At 48.2% G+C, this 23,430-nt stretch overlaps 1 protein-coding gene across 3 annotated transcripts in view, besides 2 other annotated features; it reads right to left on the bottom strand.

The window, feature by feature from the left end:
* The window catches only part of ADORA2B (adenosine A2b receptor), a 125,385-nt gene that overhangs the window by 45,851 nt on the left and 56,104 nt on the right, over nt 1–23,430 (bottom strand). The window contains exon 1 of one of the 3 annotated variants that reach the window (XM_011523659.4): nt 2,021–2,333. The exons of the other annotated variants lie outside the window; for them this stretch is intronic. The gene's annotated coding sequence lies outside the window, so the exon portion shown is untranslated. Of the gene's footprint in view, nt 1–2,020; nt 2,334–23,430 lie in introns of those variants that run through there. 3 annotated transcript variants of the gene reach the window in all.
* Nucleotides 929–1,429: an enhancer, noted in NCBI's record as "H3K4me1 hESC enhancer chr17:15831781-15832281 (GRCh37/hg19 assembly coordinates)". NCBI's record gives its function as "activates a minimal SCP1, AML or CMV promoter by ChIP-STARR-seq in primed H9 embryonic stem cells {active_cell/tissue: H9 hESC(primed)}" and the evidence as "EXISTENCE:reporter gene assay evidence [ECO:0000049][PMID:30033119]".
* Nucleotides 1,430–1,930: an enhancer, noted in NCBI's record as "H3K4me1 hESC enhancer chr17:15831280-15831780 (GRCh37/hg19 assembly coordinates)". NCBI's record gives its function as "activates a minimal SCP1, AML or CMV promoter by ChIP-STARR-seq in primed H9 embryonic stem cells {active_cell/tissue: H9 hESC(primed)}" and the evidence as "EXISTENCE:reporter gene assay evidence [ECO:0000049][PMID:30033119]".

Here is a 23,430-nt window from a genome sequence, read left to right as displayed (position 1 = left end):
CATTAAACACTAACTCCCCATTTTCCCCTTCCCCCAGCCCCTGGCAACCACCATTCTACTTTCTGTCTCTATGAATCTGACTACTCTACTACCTCATGTAGGTGCAATCACACAGGATTTGTCTTTCTGTGTCTGGCTTACTTCACTCAGCATAACGTCCTCAAGGTTCATCCAGGTTGTAGCACTGTTGTCAGAATTTCTTTCCTTTTTAAAGTTGAATAAGATCCCATTATATAAATGAATCATGTTTTGTTTATCCAGTTATCTGTAGATGGATGCTTGGGTTGCTTCCACCTTTCTGCTATTGTTCAGAGTGCTGCTGTGAATGCGGGTGGGCAGCAGGTTGACTTTTGATACCTGGTGGAGGGAGGAGAGCACAGTGCTCCTTGGCCACCTCCACAGGAAAGCCCTCCTGCCAGGGCAGCCCCTCATGAACTGGGCTGAGAAAAGCATGGTCAGTGAGTTTCTTCCTTGATGGTTCTACTGTAGCCTCAGCACATCTTGGAGTCCACCCCATGGCTCCTGGGCTCACCTGGTCATTCCATTCACCTGACTCCAGAAAGTGCTCCTGGCTCTTTCCTGTTTTAGTCTGGATTCCACTTCATATTCCACACCACTGTCATCTCCAGAGGGTTCAAACATTCTTTAAACTGACCTAAATGTCTACCTCTTAGTGACCCCCAAATTGTCAGTAGGCCACTGGGAACTCTCAGTGTCAACTCACGGTGTCATCATAAAACCTCTACATCCTCCTCAGCCTCTTCTCGGATGTCCCTCCACTCTCTCACTCTGCTAGAAGTCGGGGTCTCCCCTGAAGATGCTGTTTCTCCTGCAGCTCTCTCAAGGGGTGTCTGTTTTTGTCTCCCACACCCTGCCTTCTCTGAGGACCTGCAGCTGACAGAGCTCTTCTCCCTACTTTTCCAGAATATTCCTCCCCTCTCCTTCCGTAACAACCCAGCCTCTCCAAGAGCATGCTTAGGGACTACATCACCCTCGAGCCCTGCTTGCCACAGTCACCTCCAGACCTCCAGCCACTCTGACCACTCAGGGAAGGTTTCTCATCCTCCTCACACTGTCCTTCTGTCGCCAGACACTCCTATGCTCATTTCTGGCAGCTTCAACAATGTTGTCCATGAATCCTCCTGCCTCTGCTTCCCAATCTCTTCCTCCACAACGCTCTTTCCCTCCAACACACCTGACCCACCTTCACGGAGTCCTGGCCAAGGCTGAGACTTGTCACTCTCAGTAACTGCATGTTCTCCAGAGTTTCTGCTTCAGGTGTCCCCTCTTGGACAACTGCCTCCACCTTGCCAGCCTATTTCCTCTACCTGTCCCCCAGCCTTGTCTGGCTGACATCCAGTCCCATGCCCTTGTACAGCTGCACCGGCTGTAGGAAGCAACGACACGCCTCAGCCGCCAGCCTCCCCATGCTCAGCCTCCCTGCTCCATGTGTGCCTGGAATCTGGCTCCTTCCCCGTCTCCCTGGCATCCGCACAGGCAAGAGAATGCACTGTTATCTTTCCATACTTTCAGAAAAAAAAAAAAGAGGAAAGAAAACACCCTCCCTAATCCCACATCCCTTTCCGATGATCTCCCCATTTCTCTGTTCCCCTTTACAGCAAAACTCCTCCCAAGCGAGATCTGCCCTCGGTCCCCACTCCTGACACCCCCTTGTAAAGCCACCAGCAACATACGTCTTGCCAAACCCAATAGCCGCCCCTCAGGCCTTGCTCAACTGCTCAGCAGTTTGTCACCCATCACTTCCTCTTTCTTGAAACCCATGGCCTCGGCCGGGCGTGGTGGCTCACGCCTATAATCCCAGCACTTTGGGAGGCTGAGGCGGGCGGATCACGAGGTCAGGAGATCAAGACCACCGTGAAACCCCATCTCTACTAAAAATACAAAAAGTAGCCGGGTGTGGTGGCGGGCGCTGTAGTCCCAGTTACTCGGGAGGCTGAGGCAGGGGGCTTGGTCTTTTTTCTTCTGGGCTTTAGGCTTCTATATTTCCCTGTCTACTCACCTTCTCCACTTGGATGTTGAAAGCCACCTTGCGCCTGACTCTTGATCCGAGTCTTCTCCATGTCAGCAGCAGCAGGCACTGAGGGGCGTCCCGGATTCCTCTCCTTCCTGCATTCTCCACAGCCGCTCCATCTGCTCTGCCCTTGCTGGGCTGAGTCCCCTCATCTCTCACCTGAACTACTGCAATGGCATGCTAGCCAGGCCTTACTTTTATTTTATTTTATTTTTTGAGACGGAGTCTTGCTCTTGTTGCTCAGGCTGGAGTGCAGTGGTGCAATCTTGGCTCACTGCAACCTCCGCCTCCTGAGTTCAAGCGATTCTCCTGCCTCAGCCTTGCAAGTAGCTGGGATTACAGGCACCCGCCACCACACCCAGCAAATTTTTTTTTTTTTCCTGAGACAGGGTCTCACTCTGTTGCCAGACTGGAGTGCAGTGGCTCAAACTCGGCTCACTGCAGCCTCTGCCTCCTGGGTTCAAGGGATTCTCCTGCCTCAGCCTCCTGAGTAGCTGGGACTACAGGCGCGTGCCACCATGCCCGGCTAATTTTTTACATTTTTAGTAGAGACAGGGTTTCACCATGTTAGCCAGAATGGTCTCCATCTCCTGACCTCGTGATCTGCCTCCCTTGGCCTCCCAAAGTGCTGGGATTACAGGCGTGAGCCACCGCACCCAGCCTAATTTTTTGTATTTTTAGTAGAGATGGGGTTTCACAATGTTGGCCAGGCTGGTTTCGAACTCCTGACCTCAGGTGATCTGCCTGCCTCGGCCTCCCAAAGTGCTGGGATTACAGGCGTGAGTCACCGTGCCCAGCCTATTATTTTATTTTTAACTCTTGTGCCTCTACAATCACTTCTCTGCATGGCTACCAAAGAGATTGCTTATTTTTAAATTTTTATTTTATTTTTTGAGACAGGGTCTTGCTCTGCTGCCGAGGCTGGAATGCAGAGATGCAATCATGGCTCACTGTAGCTTCGAACTCCTAGGCTCAAGTAGTCCTCCTGCCTTGGCCTCCTGAGTAGCTGAGACCACAGGTAGACACTACCACGCTGAGCTGATTTTTAAAATTTTTTTGTAAAGATGGAGTTTCACTATCTTGCCTAGGCTGGTCTCAGTCTTGAGCTCAAGCGATCCTCCCACCTCGGCCTCCCAACAAAAAAACTGTTTAGAAATGTTAATTAGGTCCTGCTCAGAACTTTGCCATTCCTCAGATAGGGCCTGGGAGGTTCTGCCCTACCCATCTCTCATGAGCCATTCCCTAGCAGCTGCCTTGCCCATTCTGCTGCTCACATTGGCCTTCTGCTGCCCCCCATACCCTGACCCTCCCCAGTGAACCAGTATGTCCCTGCCACAGGGCCTTTGGACATACTGTGCCCACCCATCAAGCTCTCCCCCGATTGTCACATGGTTCCCCCCGCATACCTTTCAGGTATCTGCTCATATCGTGTCACCCACTCAGGGACTTCCTCTGACCATCCTCCCTAGAATAGCACCCCTCTCTCTGGCTCTTCTTTCCTTGCCTTGCTCTGCTTGTCTTCCTAGTGCTTATCAACACCTGTCATCTTGTGTATTGGGCTGTTTCTTGTCTGCGTCCCCTGCCAGAGTGTGAGCTCCAAAAGGGCACAACCCCGTTTGTCTCACTTACTGTTCTATCTCCAGCAACTGGCAGGGTGCCTGGCACATAGGAGCCTGTAGAGCATCTGCAGAGGAATCTTGGGGCTGCTCAGAAATGCGAGGCTGAAAGCGTGCAAGTAAATAAAACCGATGCTGGGTTATTGCTTATTCAGAGGCAAATGCAACCAGCTATTTTAAACAATAAGTTTGTATAAGCAGAAAAAAATTGCTTTGGAGAAAAAAATAAGGAATTCCTCTCATCCCATTCGCCTTAACCCTAAATCTGTTTTTTTTTTAAGACGGAGTCTTGCTCTGTTGCCCAGGCTGGAGTGCAGTAGAGAGATCTCGGCTCATTGCAACCTCTGCCTCCTGGGTTTATGCAATTCTCTGCCTCCACCTCCTGAGTAGGTGGGATTATAGGCACACACCACCACACCTGGCTAATTTTTTTGGTTTTTTTAGTAGAGACAGGGTTTCACCATCTGGGCCAGGCTGGCCTTGAACTCCTGACCTCGTGATCCACCCGCCTCGGCCTCCCAAAGTGCTGTCTGGTTTTTACACTTTTGAAAAGGAGGTCACAATTACCAACTCAGGTTAATTATTCAAATACGCAGAAAGAGAACAGTCAAATCCTAGTACTAACTGCACAGAAATCCTGACACAGAGTTCACTAACATTTATTACTTCACCTCTATTTGAAGGGAAGACCTCTCATGCAACCTAACAATGAAGCATGCTTAAAATTAATGAAGTTAACATACAACAGTGTTAGATTACTATTTATAAATAGGGAGATACATATAAAAATAAACTTTCAGGCTAGACTCGGTGGCTCCTGCCTGTAATCCCAGTACTTTGGGAGGCTGAGGTAGCAGGATCGCTTGAGGCCAGGAGTTTGAGACCCCCATTTCTATATGTATTTTAAAAGTAGGCTGGGCACGGTGGCTCACGCCTGTAATTCCAGCACTCTGGGAGGCTGAGGCAGGCAGATCACCTGAGGTCAGGAGTTCAAGACCAGCCTGGCTAACATGGTAAAACCCCGTCTCTACTAAAAATACAAAAATTAGCCAGGCATGGTGGCAGGCGCCTATAATCTCAGCTACTCGGGAGGCTGAGGCAGGAGAATCACCTGAACCCGGGAGGTGGAGGTTGCTGTGAGCCAAGATCGTGCCACTGCACTCCAGCCTGGGTGACAGAGTCAGACTCCATCTCAAAATAAAATAAAATAACCAGGTGTGGTGGCATATGCCTGTGGTGCCAGCTACTCAGAGGCTGAGGCAGGAGGATTGCTTGAGCTCAGGAAGTTAAGGGTACAGTGAACTATGATCACGCTACTGCACTGCACACTTCAGCCTGGGTGACAGAGCAAGACTCTGTCTCTTTAAAAAAAAAAAGAAAGAAAGAAAGAAAGAAAAAAACATTTGAAAGACTGGAGGGGCTAAGGGGGGTAAACAGGGAAAGGATAGTAACAGGAGACTGCTGTCTTTTGATATATACCATAAATACTACTTAACTTTTTTTTTTTTGAGATGGAGTCTCGCTCTGTCGCCCAGCCTTAAGTGCAGTGGCACAATCTCAGCTGACTGCAAGCTCCACCTCCTGGGTTCACGCCATTCTCCTGCCTCAGCCTCCTGAGTAGCTGGGACTACAGGCATCCACCACCACACCAGACTAATTTTTTTTTGTGTGTGTATTTTTAGTAGAGACAGGGTTTCACCATGTTAGCGAGGATGGTCTCGATCTCCTGACCTCGTGATTTGCCCGACTCGGCCTCCCAAAGAATACTGCCTAACTTTTTAACAATAAGCTTGCATTACTATGGGAAAAGTTATAATATACTTATTTAAAATGTATATAAATTCATACCCCACCATGTACTTCAAGATAAATCCCAAATGCATCAAAGATTTAAGACAAAACAATGAAAGTTCTAAAAGAAAACAATGAAAGTTCTAGAAGAATGAAAGTTGTAGAAGGTTATAAAGGAGCACACCTTTATAACCTTGGAATGGGGAAGGGCTTTCTAGCTTTGACTTATCCAAAGCCTCAAAAGGGCTGGGTGCAGTAGCTCATGCCTGTCATCCCAGCACTTTGGGAGGCCAAGGCGGGTGGATCACCTGAGGTCAGGAGATCGAGACCAGCCTGGCCAACATGGCGAAAACTTGTCTCTACTGAAAATATAAACATTAGCTGGGTATGGTGGTGGGTGCCTGTAATCCCAGCTACTCTGGAGGCGAAGGCAGGAGAATGGCTTGTTCCCGGGAGGCAAAGGTTGCAGTGAGCCAAGATCACGCCATTGCGCTCCAGCCTGGGCAACAAAAGCAAAACTCTGTCTTAAAACAAAACAAAACAATAACAACAACAAAAAAAACAAAGCTGCAAAAGAAGAGACAAAAATTAAAAAAATTTTCTCCATGGCAAAAACAAATCATCATAAGCAGAAACAAAGACAATCACTGGGGAAGCTATTTGCATCTCAAATCACATACATCATCTCTCCAATGTACTAAAAGCTCCAAGATGAGGTTTCCAAACACTCACTAAGAAATATGGGCAATGGGACCGGGCGCGGTGGCTCACGCTTGTAATCCCAGCACTTTGGGAGGCCGAAGCGCGTGGATCACGAGGTCAGGAGATTGAGACCATCCTGGCTAACACGGTGAAAGCCTGTCTCTACTAAAAATACAAAAAAAATTAGTCGGGCGTGGTGGTGGGCGCCTGTAGTCTCTGCTACTCGGGAGGTTGAGGCAGGAGAATAGTGTGAACCCAGCAGGCGGAGGTTGCAGTGAGCCGAGATCGCGCCACTGCACTCCAGCCTGGGTGACAGAGCGAGACTCCATCTCAAAAGAAAAAAAAAATATATATATATATATATACACACACACATAGAGAGAGAGACAGAGAGAGAGAGGCAATGGCAGGGTGTGGTGGCTCACGCCTGTAATCCTAGCACTTTGGGAGGCTGAGGTGGGTGGATCACCTGAGGTCAGGAGTTTGAGACCAGCCTGGCCAACATGGTGAAACCCCATCTCTACTAAAAATACAAAAAAAAAAAAAAATTAAAAAAAGAAAGAAATTAGCCAGGCGTGGTGGCAGGTGCCTGCAATCCCAGCTACTCGAGAGGCTGAGGCACGAGAACCACTTGAACCTGGGAGGCAGAGGTTGCAGTGAGCCGAGATCACACCACTGCACTCCAGCCTGGGTGACAGAGCCAGACCCCATCTCAAAAAAAAGAAAAAAAGAAAAGAAAAAGAAAAAGAAATATGGGCAATGAATATGAAAAAGCAGTTCACAGAAAAAGGAACACAAACAGAATTTTAAAACATATTCAGTCTCATTTATAACAAAATGCAAATGAAAACTAAATTCAGACACCACTTCTCACCTATTAGACCAGCAAAAATCCAAATGTCTGATAGCACACTCTGTGGGCCAAGCTGTGGTTAAAGAGACACTCTCCTATGATGCTCATGGGAGAACAAGTTAATCCAGCTCCCACAGGAGCAATTTGGCATGTTCCGTCAGAAGCATAAACTCTTTGACCCAGCAAGTATATGTTTGAAACTTACACACATGAACATATACATATGCACATTAATAATGATAGCATTGTCATAAGAGCAAAAGACTGGAAACAGTCCCTATGTTCATCATCTATGGGGTGACCCTACATCCCAGTTTGCTTGGGACAGCCCTGGTTTACACCTTTGCCCCAGTATAATTAATAATACAGCCCTGTTCACTCTTGAAAATGTCCCAATCTGGATGGTTGGTTTTATGGCTACCCTAATCATAGGGGACTAGATAATTGATGCTACACCCATATAATAGAATACCATGCAGCAGAAAAAAAGAATGTGGATGCTTTCTATGTATTGATAGCAATGTGTCTTGGAGACATTTGCCTAAGTGAAAAGAAAAAAACCCAAACAAAAACAAAAAGCCAGGTGCAGAATAAAATGCATAGCATGCTAACTTTGGGGTTAAAAATAAGAGGATATGATGCTACTCACATTTGCCTGTATGTGCCTAAGAAACTCTGGAAGGGTACACAAAATACTGATAACAGTAGTTACCAGTGTGTACGCATCTGGGAAGGGAAGGGAAGACTGAGTGGCACGGTCTTTCACTGTATATTTTTTCATAATTTTTTGAGTCAAGTAAAAATAAATGTTTGAATCTATTCAGAGTTAAACTTTAAGATGAAAAAGTATATAAACTGTCACAGACTTCTAATTCCCTACACAAGTCATCCTTCCTTTTTGTAACAGAACCCCAGACTAGATTTCCCACCCTTCCTTGAAGCTAGGTGTAGCCATGGGACTAATGAAATATAACAGAAAGTGTCACATGAGTCTTCTAGGAAGACATAAACTTTATTCTGTCTCCTGGGATATAGTTGTGATGACTGGAACTCTGGCAGCCATTTTCATTTATGAGGATAAATGCCACTCCCTTAAGGATGTGAGAGCTAAAAGGTGCCTGGATCCCTAATAATTTTGTGAATTCAGCATGCTAGCTTTGGAAGTTTTACCTCTGGACTTCTTTTTTTAATGAGAAGGGAGGAAGTTTCTTACCTTAAAGCACTGTTTTTCAGGACTCTATCCCTTGCCACTTAACCTAATTCTAACTGATACTGACGTGTGCTGATAAAACTACCAAAAAATATGTTAATTTTCATTACCCATTTTTGGTGTGATGATAGGACATTTTTATTTTCTTTGCGCCTTTGGTATTTTCTGTACTGAACATGTATTTTAGCATCAACTGTCACTTTAAAACAACATTTACACGATTACAGAAAATGGATCTTCTAGTTTCTGATTTTGTGTCAGGTAAATTTCACTTTCAAAGGAGATAATGACAGCAACCATCAAGAGGGATAATATCTCCAGAAGCCATTTGCAGTGGTGCTTTGTTAGCAGCAGAGATCTCATAGCATCACTGCTGCTGCAGAAGAACAGGCTGAGACCTTCCAGTTGAGTAAAAGCCGCCTGTTGCTTTAAATTGTAAGTGAGACCTAGAAGATGCTTGGAGCCAGTTCTGATTGAGATTTGCCAAATCCCCAGGCTCAGCTTGTCTGCTTTCTGGAAACAGGTTTCCATTGTCTATGACTGTCTGAAGCAGGGGAGAAATCCTCCATGGCCTGGGGAGATGGATGATAAAACTCACACGGGTGCCCCACTGGCTCACTGACTCATCCTGGAATGATCGGAAGGCCGGAAGCCTGGCACATGTTCTTGGACTCAAACATTGGTTTCCCACATTGCCATATACAAACAATTCCAGAGCGAGAGAATTTTTATAGAAGACCTGTTGAAAGTCTGAGAAGACCATCAGCAGGGAGCTCCCAGATGCCTACAGTTGTGCAATCTGTGAGTCATCCCGTTGGCCCCCTGCTGTGCTTCTCCAGCTGGGCTCGCAGCCTCCAAGGGATGAGGCCTGTCACAAATACCTGCGCGGTGCTGTGATGCACCTTTCTGGCGTGTCATTTTTATGTGAAAATTTGTGGTGGGGAAAGTCAACATTTTTTTTTTTTTTTTTTTGAGACGGAGTCTCCCTCTATCACCAGGCTGGAGTGCAGTGGCACGATCTTGGCTCACTGCAACCTCCACCTCCCAGATTCAAGTGATTCTCCTGCCTCAGCCTCCTGAATAGCTGGGACTAATGGCACGTGCCACCACACCCAGCTAATTTTTGTATTTTTAGTAGAGACGGGGTTTCACCATGTTGGCCAGGATGGTCTCAATCTCTTGACCTTGTGATCTACCCGCCTCAGCCTCCCAAAGTGCTGGGATTACAGGCGTGAGCCACTGTGGCTGGCCTGAAAGTAGTCACTTTTATATGAAACAATCATTGCTATGTCATAAGGGGAACAGAAACTTTTATTTATTTTGTATAAATTTAGGGGATACGACTGCAGTTTTGTTCCATGGGTATACTGAACAGTGGTGAAGTCTGGGCTTTTGGTATAGCCATCACCTGAATAGTGTACATTGCACCCATTAAGTAACTTCTCATGCCTCACTCTCCCTTCCGCCTTCGCACCCTTCTGTGTCTCCCGTGTCTATTATTCCACTCTGCATGTCCATGTGTACATATTATTTAGCTCCCATTTATAATGAGAACATTCAGTATTTGAGTTTCTGAAAACTCTGAAGCATTTATAAGGCTTCAAAATAAAAGATTTCAAAAAAAAATTACTGTAGTACACAGCTTCAAACTGTGTTCTGAGACCCCCTGGGGGCCACTGGGGTACTTTGGTCTAGGGAAAAGGTTTAAAACTCTGGCTTACAGGATTTCACGCTGACGCTAATTGAAACTGTCTTTGGGTCTGTATTACAATCAATCTTGTCTAGACACATTCACCCAATTTCTTCATGAACAAAGGTTTTCTTTAAAAAAATTATTTTTATTTTTTATAAAAAGTGGCTGGAGAAAGTGGGTCTTTTCCATCCTGTACACCCAGCTGGCCACTGGAGCCTCCTCTGCCCCCACCTGGCATCCCACCTGGCCTCCCTTCCCTTCCCTTCCCACCCACTGGGCACATCCACTGCTGTACCTGGTGGCTGTCTCCTGACCTCAGGAGGCTCAACCCTTGCAACATGCCTACCACTGGGCTTCAAGGCACCCATTTCCTGCTGAGGAGGTGGTGCCAGGACACACTAGGTGACCAAAGACACAGGTACCTGCCCTGGCACAGCTTGTAGTCCCTGGTTGAGGGTGGGAAACAGACATTCACCCCAAAATGACACCCATAGCTGGAGAGTTAAACATCTGATGATGGCCCTGAAGGAAAAATTAAGGCCACATTTTTTCAGGGAGCCCAGTTTAATTGGGGTGGGGGAATGGAGAGGTGTTTCTCTAAGGCAGTCTTGCTTTAGGTAGTCCTGAAAGGTGAGTAGAAGCTGGCAGGTAGAGGACAGATGCAGGAATGACTCAACGGGTTGCAGTGGGATTGGATGGGCACCTCCTGAAGGCTTTGGCTGGAAAATTCAGGTCAAATAATCCAAATTGGTTCCTACCAGGGCCTGGAATAGGCCACTGGGCTTTAGAACAAGACACCTCCAGTGGGTGCCATGGTTGTAGGATGGCAGGGAGCCCATCACAGTTTCCTTCCCCAAGAGGTGGCAACGAGGAGGTCACACTGCATCTGGAGTGTATCTGCTTAGGGCTGCCAGCAGTCAGGCTGGGCACTGGACAGCTGCCCAGGAAGCAGAGGAGAAAATAAACCTCCTCCTGGAGACTGAGAAGAGCCATAAACCGGATGTTGGTGGTGGGGGCTCAGGACCTGCCTGGGTGGTTCACTCAGGCTTCACTATTTGCTCCTCCTGCCTGGGCCTCTGGCTGTCCCCTGTCACACAGAGTGACCTGCCTGTCCCAAGGCTCTTACACGGCTGCCAGCAAAATCTGAAATTCAGATAAACAACCAATAATTCCTGAGTCTGTCCCAAATATTGCAGGAGGTGTACTTACGCTAAGAAATTATTCACTGTTGGCCAGGCGCGGTGGCTTACACCTGAATCCCAGCACTTTGGGAGGCCGAGGCGGGTAGATCACGAGGTCAGGAGTTTGAGACCAGCCTGGCCAACATGGTGAAACCCCATATCTACTAAAAATACAAAAATCAAACGGGCGTGGTGGCACTCGCCTGTAATCCCAGCTACTCGACAGGCTGAGGCAGGAGAATCGCTTGAATCCGGAAGGCGGAGGTTGCAGTGAGCCGACCTCAAGCTACTGCACTCCAGCCTGAGTGGCAGAGCAAGGCTGTCTCAAAAAAACAAACAAAAAGAAATTATTCATTGTTTATCTGAAATCCAAATTTAATTGGGCATCCTGTGTTGTATGTGGTGACTGTACTCAGCCTACAAACTAGGCCCCTACCGGAGGAAAGGTTTAAGACTCCGACTTTTAAGGGGCCAGAAGACGCAAAAGAAGATATAAGCCCACAGCAATGCACTGAATGTTTGTGTGCCCCTCTCCAAATTCCTCTGCTGAAACCTGAACCAAGGTGAAGGTATAAGGAGCTGGGGCCTTGGGGAGGTGACCAGGTCATGAGGATGGAAGGATTCCTGCCCCTGTAAGAGGCCAGGAGCAGCTCCCTCTGTCCAAGTGAGGACACAGCAAGAAGGTGGTCTTGGGCAACCGGGAAGAAGGCCTTTTCCAGAGCCCGACCACGCTGCCACCCCGAGCGCAGACTCCCAGGACCACGAGATAGCAATGTTGTTTCTAAGCTGCCCAGTCTAAGGTGCCTCGCGACGGCCACCTGGACGTACAATCACCCACAAGGATACGGAGGAGGACAGCCCGGGCCCAGTGCAGGCTCGAGAGGGAGGGAGGGACAGCGGCAGGAGGCGGGGCTGGGACCGAGCCCGAGCACTCGCCTGGACAGGCGAAGTTTGGGGTGGCCTCCTGTGGCAGGGGGTTGGGGAGCCTAAGCCAAGGAGCCGAGTAGGCGGTGACTGCGCGCCCCTGCCCGCGCCAGGCCCGGAGCGGTCGTCTGTTGAATGGAGCCCCTGATGCGACCAGCATGGGCCAGGCTAGGCAGGGGCAGGAGCCCTTCGGCAGAGCCCCCGTCACCGGCGCGGAGCCGCAGCCTGGGGAGGCCCCTGCCGCTGGAGTCCGGCCCCGGGAGCGCGAGATTGCTGGGCATCCCTGTTCCCTAGCCCGGAGCCCCGCCTAGGGGAGCCCTCCAGTGCCTGCGGGGGCAGGGCTGGGCAGGGGGAAGGGGTCCTCGGGCGTCAGACCCCAGCCCAGCCTGCACCGTCCACATGGTGCAGGGGCGCGGTCCCAGGATGGGCGGCCGCAGCCCTGAGGAGATTTGGCTGCGCCGGCTCAGCCTGGCGCCTTGTGGGCGCCCCTTGGGAGCCCTGAGGGAACGTGCCCCTCGAGACTCCGAGACTCCGTGGGTACCGCTGTCCCCGCCTAGCCCCCTCTTCAAGAGGACACCAGCGTACCGTGGCAGGCACGGTCTGGCTCTGTTGCCCAGGAGGGAATGCAGTGGCACAATCAGATCTCACTGCAGCCTCTATCTCTCGGGTTCAAGCGATTCTCCCGCCTCTGACTCCCAAGTAGCTGGGACCACAGGCGCCACCACGCCCAGCTCATTTTTAGTTTTTTGTGGAGATGCAGTCTCGTTTTTGTTGCCCAGGCTGGTCTTGAACTCCTGCTCAAGCCATCCTCCCATGTTGTCCTCCCAAAGAGCTGGGAAGCCACTGTGCCCGGCCTTGTTTTTCAATTAAGAGATCACAGCAAGTGCTCCTCCTTCTCCAGGACAGGTGGCCGATGGTGGAGCATTGAGCAGTGGCTAGGAGTGCAGGCTTTGGTGCCAGATCACTTAGGTTTAAATCCTTGCTTTGCCTTCTCCAAGCTGAGCTGCTTTAGGCAAATTATTGAGCCTTTCTGTGCCTCAGTTTCCTGGTCTATAAAATGGTCTGGCAATGACCTAATTCACTGGTGCCACAACCCCTTCTAAGGGAGGAGACCACCCCTCATACTGTCTTATGCCCAATTTCTGCCTCCAAAGAAAGAATTAAAAACTAAAAGGCAGAAATGAAATCCACAGGCAGACAGCCTGGCACCACTCCCTGGGCCTGGTAATTAAAGATTGACCCCTGATGTAATTGGTTATGTTATCTATAGATTACAGACACTGTATAGAAAAGCACTGTGAAAATCCCTGTCCTGTTCTGTTCTAATTACCGACGCAGGAGCTTGCAGACCCCAGTCATGTACCCCCCCTCCTTGCTCAGTTGATCACGACCCTCTCACGCGGACCCCCCTTAGAGTTGTGAGCCCCTAAAAGGGACAGGAGTTGTTCACTCAGGAGCTCAGTTGTTGGAGATGTGAGTCTTGTCGAAGCTCCTGGTCGAATAAAGCCCTTCCTTCTTTAACTCGGTGTCTGAGGGGTTTTGTCTGTGACTTGTCCTCCTACACTTCAACTCAGGGGCTGGCTCAGACCCACAGTCCTGCTGGGCTTCCAGCTGCAGTAGCACAAAGCTGCAGTCCCCAGGAAGGTTGACTTGTTTGGGAGAAGCCTGATTCCCATCCCAGGACACATAACAGCCTGCAGCTCATCCCGCTTACCACTGCCTTTGGAGGGAGACAGCTCTGGGCTGCAAGAGTCTTCGCCTGTTCGTAAGCAGGCAGCCATAGTGAGTGCCATGTGACCCCCCCACCCCAGCTGACAGCCAGGGCAGCCGACTGCTGACTGGTTAGTGACCCGTGAGGTGATCCCATGTGAAAATCAGTGCCTGCTCAGGCAGAATGGGGAGACCTATCGCAGGCCAATCTGATTCTTCAGCTTGTGTGACGGTTAACTTTATGTGTCAACTTCACTGGGCCAAGGGATGTCCACATAGCTGGTTGGACATTGTTTCTGGGGTGGCTGTGAGGGCGTTTCTGGAAGAGATTAGTATTTGGGTTGGTGAACTAAATCAAGCAGATACCCTCCCCAATATCAGTGGGCATCACCCAATCCACTGAGGGCTTAAATATAACCAAAAGGTAGAGGAATATTTAATTCTTTAGGCCTTTGAACATCACCACTGGCCTTCCTGGGTCTCCACTTGGACACGGCAGACTGTGGGACTTCTCAGCCTCCATAGTCACATGGGGCAGTTCTGTATAATTAATCTCATTCCCTTTCTGTCCACCTGTCTATCTATCACCTATCTATCTCCTATTGGGGCTGTTTCTCTGGAGAACCTTGACTAACACAGCTTGGTAACTATAACTAGAAAATACAGAAAGATTCCATGGATTGTTAATGGGTGGAGAAAGAAAGAAGAGATGACTATGGCAGGCAGAATAATGGTCCCCAGAGATGTCCACTCCTGAGTCCCTGGAACCTGTAAATGTGTTAGCTTACATGGCAGAAGGGACTCTGCAGATGTGATTAAGGTTAGAGACCTTGCAATAGAGAGAATAGCCTGGATTCTCCAGATAGGCCCAATCTACTTAACATGAGTCCTTAAAATCAGAGCGCCTTTCGCAGCAGCAGAGAACCAGGGGAGATGTGACTGGAAGAACAGCCACAGAGGCAACGCTGCTGGCTTTGAAGATGCAGGAAGGGGCCACAAGCTAAGGAATGCAGGAGGCCCCTGGAGGCTGGGAATGGCAAGAAGGCGGATTCTCTTCTAGAGCCTCCAGGAAGGAAGCTGCACTGTGACACCTTGATTTTAACACAGTGAGGCTATGCTGCACTTCTGAACCCCAGGACTGTGAGATACCAAGTTCCTGTTGTTTTAAGCCACTGAGTTTGTGATAATTTGTTACAACAGCCACAGAAAGCGAATACAATGACAGTGAGCAGTCATGACTCAGCCCGAGGTAGTCACGAAATGAGGGTTGCCCCAAAAGACCTGAACTTTGAGGAGAGTTGCCTAAGAAGTTAGGATCTAAAGTCAGTGCACAAGTTGGAAATTCTCCTGTGTCAGTTGCCATCAAGCTACCATCTGGAACATCTAAAAATCCTCTCAAATGGCCCCAACACAGCCAAGTTTTCCTCCAGGGATGCGCTGAGCATTAGATGAAACAGTTAGCTTGCAGTTAAGGTCCATACTGTATCCAAACAAACAAGCAAGCAAAGAAAGCTTTAAATACTGAAACTGCACTCAATGTCATGGGACACTTACACAATGGGTGACCCACAGGAGCTGAGGCTGTAGACAGACCAGCTATATGGTTCATGCTTGCTCTGGGGCACATGATTATTGGCTGCAATGGCAGGTGACAATAGACACATCCTGTTTTTTTTAACAGCTGGGCACAGTGGCTCACACTTGTAATCTCAGCACTTTGGGAGACTCGGATGGGAGGATCACTTGGGGCCAGAGGTTTGAGGCTAGCCTGGGCAACAAAGCAAGAGCCCTCTCTCTACAAAAAGTAAAAATATAAAAAGTCAGCTGGGTGTGATGGCATGCATCTGTAGTCCTAGCTACTTAGGAGGCTGAGGTGGAAGGATCCCTTGATCCCAGGAGTTCAAGGTTCTAGTGTGCTAGGATCATGCCACCACACTCCAGCATGGGCAAGAGAGTGAGATTGTCTCAAAGAATTTTTTTTTGAATTAACCTTATTTTTTCTTCCAACTATAGGTGGTCAAATGTGTGGGAGTAAAATGTGTGTTTGAAATGCCTTCCCAGGACTCAGTATGGCTCATTTTCCTCCTTGCCATGAGCTGCATGTCCCCATGATTCGGGGCAGCCCGCCTAGGTGCCTGTTCCTGGCTATCAGAAGAGCACAGTGAAGTCCTCCTGCCCCTGAGAAGATCGAAGACTCTGCTGTGGTCAAGGTTCCTTCTCCAGCCATATGTGTTGTCTAGGATTAGACTTTTCAAACAGTGGCCAGGCCTTCTGAGGTCACATGTAGCAGTAAAAGCAAGCTGTGGCTAACTTTTCCCATGTTCCATTTTCTGTTTTGCTATTTTTCTGATATGAGGGTAATGATCTGGTTTAAAGGGTGATATAAATAGTAACCCAGATGGACATATGGGAGGGGTGACGGGACCGGCCCTTTGGCCAACACTGCAAGATGTCCAGGCCAAATTTTTTTATAGCATATTTTTCATAATCTAGAAAAATGTTGGTAAGGTTTTAATAAGGCAGGTGAGTCAAGTTACAATGTATGAATTTAATGAGTTTGGAAGGTTCAGAGATTCTGCTTGGAAATGTATTGTGTCCATTCATGATACCATAAGTGATAGTAGCAGAGAAAGAAGGAAAAATGACAAAGGTCTTAGAATGGCCAGGTTTTGAGTTTCCCTCCAGGGGTCCTTCTTGTTTGCAATTCTGGGATTTTCACCATCAAGCTGGAAAAGCTGGAAACAACTGTTGACAAGACTGACTGCAGCTCTGAAACCAGGCTGGATGCGGAGGTGTTTATTCCTTGAGTTCAGTGAAGAATTCCAAGTCAGAATGACCATCAGTGGGAGCTGGATATTTCCACTAATTAATCAAAAATTATCTATTTAGCAACTGTTACACATTAGGCTGTAGCATTTTGAGTCAGTAAATACACAGCTCTGCTTCCAAGGAGCTCAGAGTGCAGGGTGTAAATGCACAGCCTAAGAATCCAAGCCCTTCTGGCTCAGGGAAGGAAGAGCCAGCTGTGGGCCAAGGGACACAGGGTGGGCAAGTGCCATGGGCTTCTGGGCAGCAGAGACCATTGCCACAGACAGTGCAACAACAGATGCCTCAGGGGGCACGTTGGGAGCCTCTCACCTGACACCTCATTTAATACGACCACTTTCTAGGGTGAGTGTTTTCTCTCCATCACCATCTGACGAATCTAGGCTACAGAGGCGCAGGAATAAGCCCTGGGGCTTCAGTGCAACTAAGTGGCCTGAAGCCAGGTACCTGTAAAGTGTGTGTGCTCAGACAGCCCAGGCTCGAAATGTCCACAGATGATGCTTCATTCTTGTAGCAGTCTAGGCCACAGGATGGGAACCTCCCTAATGGGGCCCAAACAGTGGCAAATACGGAAGAGATCGTCCCAAGTGCTAAGTCATTGGCCCTCCATAAAATGCCCATGTGTGCGTGCGTGTTTGTGTGCATGTGTTCACATATGCCTGCATATGCATGTGTGAACCACTGAGCAGCTGAAGACAGCTGCAGGTGATCAGATGTTGGGCAAACGAGACGTGGTATCTCCTGGACACAGCTTCTCTTGTCACCTGACAGCCCAAGAGGGAAGTGAGCCGTGGCTGCTATCCTGGCTAGGTGATAAGTGATGATCCCTTATCCGAGCCTGTGCTGTCTGAGAAGATGCAGAGGCCCTAGGGAGAAAAAGGCTGGGATAGTGTGGCTTCCCTGGGAGGAAAAAGTGAACACTTCAGGACAGGCAGCCTCATTGCCCTGAAACACCACCTGCATTTTTTTTTTTAATTTGATACAGGGTCTCCCTCTGTCACCCAAGTGGGAGTGCAGTGGTGCAATCATAGCTCACTGCAGCCTCAACCTCCTGGGTTCCAGCAATCCTCCCATCTCAGCCTCCCAAGTAGCTAGGACTACAAGCATGTGCCACCAGGGCCTGGCTTTTTTTTTTTTTTTTTTGAGACAGAGTCTTATTCTGTCACCCAGGCTGGAGTGCAATGGTGCAATCTCGGCTCACTGCAACCTCCACCTCCCAGGTTCAAGCGATTCTCCCTGCCTCAGCCTCCTGAGTAGCTGGGAATCACAGGCCCCTGCCACCACACCCAGCTAATTTTTGTACTTTTAGTAGAGATGGGGTTTTGCCATGTTGGCCTGGCTGGTCTCAAACTTCTGACCTCAGGTGATCCACCCGCGTTGGCCTCCCAAAGTGCTGAGATTATAGGTGTGAGCCATCACACTCAGCTGGCCTGGCTAATTTTTAAAAAAATTTTCTTGCAGAGATAGGGTCTTGCCATGTTGCCCAGGCTGATCTTGAACTCCTGGGCTGAAGCAGTCCTCCTGCCTCGGCCTCCCAAAATGCTGCCATTACAGGCATGAACCACCATGCCCACCCACCACGTGTTATTTCTATGGACAGGACATGCCATTTCTCTTCTACGTGCATGTCTATTGGCAAGTAAAATGGCAGTCAGGGAACCTCCTTGAGTTATAAAAATAAGTTGCACATGGCCCTTCTTTCATGTGATGTTTCTTTCCTTCTTGTTAGCCTAAAGGGATCAGGATAGAGACCAGAATGGCTGAGTTTGGCTAAAGTAATCAGCAACTTGGGCTCCCACTGGAGAGGGGCTGGTATGGCTCCAGTGTGGAAGGAGGGAAACCACAACACCATCCAGCATAGAAACTGCTTTGAGCAGAGCTGGTTCTAGATCATTTACATGTAATCACTCAGAGCCAATCACAGTAAACACTGACTCCGGGTATCCCAAGACCACAACTGCCTCCCCACATAAACCCCTGGAGTAATTTCAGCTTAAACCCAACAACCAACAACTCAACCACTTGGGATATTACTTTCCCCCACTTTAATAGCAGGCAAAGTAGAAGCACAAGGAGAAAGAAAAATGCATCGATTATGTCAACAAAAGACAGTTGCGTGAAGCAGCACAAGTAATAACTCTCGGGTTGAATTGGTTCTGACGGTGCCTCAAGTTTCACTTAAAAACAAAGGCGCGGGTGATATAATGACCATCGCCAAGCAGTTGCTCAGGAGCTCCCACAGGCTGCCTGCCCTGGGGCCACCAGGGAGATCCCTGCCCCACTTAGTGGTTCTCCATGCAGCTGTGCATTGGAGTCGTCTAGAGAACTTTCAAAACATGTAGACTGCATCTCTGGTCCCATTCCAGACATTCTGAGTCAACCAACTGGGGTAACCAGTTTTCAAAACGGTGCCCTGAAGATTCTGATACAGAGCTGCAGCTGGGATCCACTAGCAGAGCCAGGGCAGAGTCTCTTGTCCCCAGGTTAGTGGTGGCTTGAGACTCAGGGATCCACTGACCTGCAGAGCCCAGATGCCACCTCTGCAAAGGTCTGGCTTGGAGGAGGGGACCGAGCTCCTGCCCTTTCCAGGTATGGGAAGGGGCTGAACCTGCAGCCCCTGGGGTGTCCAATCTTTTGGCTTCCCTGGGCCACACTGGAAGAACTGTCTTGGGCCACACATAAAATACACTAACACTAATGATAGCTGATGTGCTAAAGGAAATCGCAAAAAAATCTCACAAAAAGATTACATATTTGTAGGCCGGGCACGGTGGCTCATGCCTGTAATCCCAGCACTTTGGGAGGCCGAGGCGGGTGAATCACCTAAGGTCAGGAGTTTGAGACGAGCCTGGCTAACATGGTGAAACCCCGTTTCTACTAAAAATACAAAAAATTATCCAGGAGTGGTGGCACACGCCTGTAATTCTAGCTACTTAGGAGGCTGAGGCAGGAGACTCACTTGAACCGAGGAGATGGAGGTTGCAGGGAGCTGAGATCACGCCACTGCACTCCAGCCTGGGTGAAACAGCAAAACTCAGTCTAAAAAAAAAAAAAAGTTTACGTATTTGTGTTGGGCCGCATTCAAAGCCACCCTGGGCTGCATGTGGCCTGCAAGTCATGGGTTGGACAAGCTTGCTCTAGAACCTGGCTCTGAAGTGGCTCAGATCAGCAATCAGAGATGTACTTTGAGTAGTAATGGCAGTCACTGTCATTCTCAGTGACTCACTGGAAGAATGATCCTTTGTCAGAGGAGCGCTAACAGGCTGTTTTACACTTAGAACAGCAAGGGATGGGCATTACCCATTTCCCTCAACCACCTGTGTGAGCCATGCCCTCACTTGCTGTGTAGTGCACACAGATCTGCCCAGAAGAACACGGCAGAGCCACCAGATGGGCACCCGGGCCAGATCCAGCACTTCTGAGGGACTGGGGCGGCTCTGGGGAGGGCTCTGCTGCCACTCAGGGTAACCAGTAGGGTGCCAGGGGCAGCTGCATTCCTTTTTGTTAATTAACAACAGGACTTCACTGCCCATCCCTAAGGGCTTCTTTTTCCCATGCTGATGTAAGAGGCCTGGGAAAGCACTGAAGGCCAAGTCAGTCCAGAGCCGAAATACTGTTGGGATTTGCTGTCAGCCCAGGGTCCCCAGAGGCACACACCCTCAGCCTGCTGAACCCTGCAAAGCAGACACAGGCCATTCCCACAAACATGACCTCCTGTCAAGTTCTGTGGAGGACAAGCCTGTGTGGGTGTGAATGGGAGTGTTAAAGAACCGGAGGTCAAAGACGAGGACCGTGAGTTCCTTAGCATGAAAGAGGCCGGCCGCTCCAGAGCACACAGACTATGGTGGCAGAGGTGTGGGGCACCTCCCAGGGACTCCAGCAAAGCAGCCAGGGCCTCCCTTGCATTATCACAGGCTTTCCTTTCGCTACAATGAATCAAATAAAGGACTATGAGAGCTAAAAATGTTATCAAGTTCTAGGTGTTAACATTGTTACCTAGAATTCTCATATTTCCTGAAAGGCAGGGCCCATGTGTTTCCAGATTGCCCTGAAGCAAATGTTTGTTTCTGTGTGTGTTTTTTTGTGTGTTTTTTGGATAAGAGAAAGCACAAGCTTCCCAAGAGCAAAGTTTTGTTGTTGTTGTTGTTGTTGCTGTTTTTTTTAGAGACGTAGTCTCGCTCTGTTGCTGTCACCCAGGCTGGAGTGCAGTGGCTTGATCATACTTGACCGTGCCTCCAACTCCCGGATACAAGCAGTCCTGCCTTGGCTTCCTAAAGTGCTGAGACTATAGGTGTGAGCGCTACCACACTCAGCCAAGGGCAAAGTTTTTATAAAGGCAAAAGCCAGGGTATTTTTTAGCAAAAAAAGAGACTAATTTGGAGAGGCTGTTTGTTTGAAGCTCTGTGCAGATGATGTGTTCATTCACCCAATGTAATTAGCAAAACAAGCCTGTGGGTGGGGTCTTGGTCTGGAAGAAGGGAGGCTGCCCTCTTTAGAAGTGTCCCACGGAAGAGCAAAGCGTCCCCAATTTACACTCTAGCTGTGTTTGCATTTGAAACAGGTACACTCTGTTTCTTATTTGGGTGTTGGTCCACTAGGATTGAGCCTGCCTTTGAAGTCCATCTAGCTGGGTGATGGGCAGAGCAGGGTCAGTGGGCAGTAATCAGGTGCTTCCAGGACAAATTGCAGTGGGTGGCAGTGGTGGCTGCTGCAGGCCCTCATGGGTTACGTCCGAAAGTACTTGTAGATTTGGGCCACATACTGCATCATGCTCTACCAGTCAGGCCGGTCTGTGTTCAGGACCTTGCTGTGAGCTCCTGCAGGGGAAGTGCATGGGGGACAGAGCACAAGGCAGGACATTACAGACCCTTCCCCTCAGGGACTTCAATCCAGGTTAGGTCTTACGCTGCCTGGAAACCCTCCACCTACACAGATGGAATGTGAAGACCAGCACAGGTGGAGCTGAATGTGATGAGTTAAAAGAAAAGACTTTTTCTCCCACTTACTCAGGAGATACTACCCCTTTCCAAAAACGGAAGACCTGCCCTCCTGCCACTTTCATCTTTTAACCGTATGACAGCATTTTAAAAAGTTTTAAAAAGAAAACTCAGGCATGGTGGCACACACCTGTAGTTCCAGCTACTTGTGAGGCTCAGGTGGGAGGACTGGTTGAGCCCGGGAGGTTGAGGCTGCAGTGAGCCATGATTCTGTTACTGCACACTAGCCTGGGTGCTCTGGGTGGACAGAGCAAGTCTCAAAAACAAGAAAAAAAAAGTCACCCATAATTTAACGATTAAGATGATTTCCAAGTTTTTAAATTACATTTTGATCCACATTTCTAATTCCCCAGGCTCCCAGCACAGTGCATGTGCTATTATGTGGGCTGAGCATTTCACACCCGGGTCCCCGTGCTGCTGTGCCATTGTGCGGGCTGCCATTCTAGTGGATGTGCACTGACCAGGAAAACTGCTGTCCACAAGGGACATAGTGTGCAGCGTACGCTCACCTCGTCACCACCACAGACTTTGCGATCAGCATCTTTGTGCAGTATTTTCTTCTGTCGAACTAGTCCCTCAAGATAAATTACTAAGAGTGGGATTATCATGAAAGTCTTGAACCAATTTCGAATGCAACCATTTATTTTACCAGCATTAAGTGTTACCATTTAATGTGTTTTTTGTTGTTGTTGTTGTCAGTTTGGTGATTTTTTGCTAATTTGCTGGTTTTTACTGATTGATTTATTTTTGTTCATTTTGCAAGTAAGCTTGTATTGAGCACGCATAAGGTCCAGCCCAGAAAGGGAGGGGCAAGGGCATCCTGTCAGGCACTCATCCAAGCTTTTCTGAAATTTGTGTCACTGGACATATTTAATAATGAACTTTGGGATTGAATTTGGATTCCTCTGTGGTTACAAGAGAATAGTAGGAAAGGATCCTGACGTAAAGCCAGAAGCAGAGATACCATGGAAAAGTAAGGCTGAACTTAGCACAATGGTCCCCTGATTCAACATCTGAACAGACTTCATCTATTCTGCTTCCTGGTGATGCTAAAAAATTATCAGCATATCATTAGTCATGAGAAAGGTGTGGGAAAGGAGTGAAACATTCCACGCAGGTACACCTAGAACAATTAAAAAAAAAAACACTTTCACAGTATACAAGGATAGAAAGTCTCCTTCTACCCACACTGCTCTAGCCATGACTACACACAGACTGAAGCCTGGCAAGCTAAAATCCTTACCATGAAGGTTTGATAACATGACTTACAGAAAGCAAGTGATGAAGAACTGGGCATGCTATTTGGGGGATAGATGAGCTCTGGGCAAAGAAGGGATGCCTACAAACCCAAGAGAGATGGCAAGCTTTCCTCTGTATGATGGGAAAGGGTGTCTTTAAACTCAGAGAGGACTCAGAAGTCCAATCAATATTCACAGTTATACACAGACTATCTTACATGCTTGAACTTCATAATAGTTGAACTAAAAATATTTGATACATTGTTAACATCACATTTGAGAATTTGTGAAGAAATATTTTGCACATGTCAGAAGAGAGTATGCTGTATTAGGAATAATCTTATAATGCATGACATTTGTTTGAAATAGTAATTAAAACCTTCCAAAAAACCACCAGACCTATATGACTGCACTTGTGAATTCTATCTAATACTTAAGGAAGAAATTATACCAATTCTACAAAATCTCTTCAAAAAATGGAAGAGGATGGAATACTTCCCAACTCATTCTATGATGCCAGCATTACCCTAATACCAAAACTAGACAGAGACATTACAAGAAAACTATAGGCCAATTTCTCACATGAATACAGACACAAAAACCCTTAACAAATATAGCAAATTGAATCCATTAATCTATAAAAGTATAATATATCAT

Source organism: Homo sapiens, chromosome 17 (assembly GCF_000001405.40).
Source record: "Homo sapiens chromosome 17, GRCh38.p14 Primary Assembly".
Taxonomy (NCBI): domain Eukaryota; kingdom Metazoa; phylum Chordata; class Mammalia; order Primates; family Hominidae; genus Homo; species Homo sapiens.
This window is presented reverse-complemented; position numbering and strand designations above follow the sequence as displayed.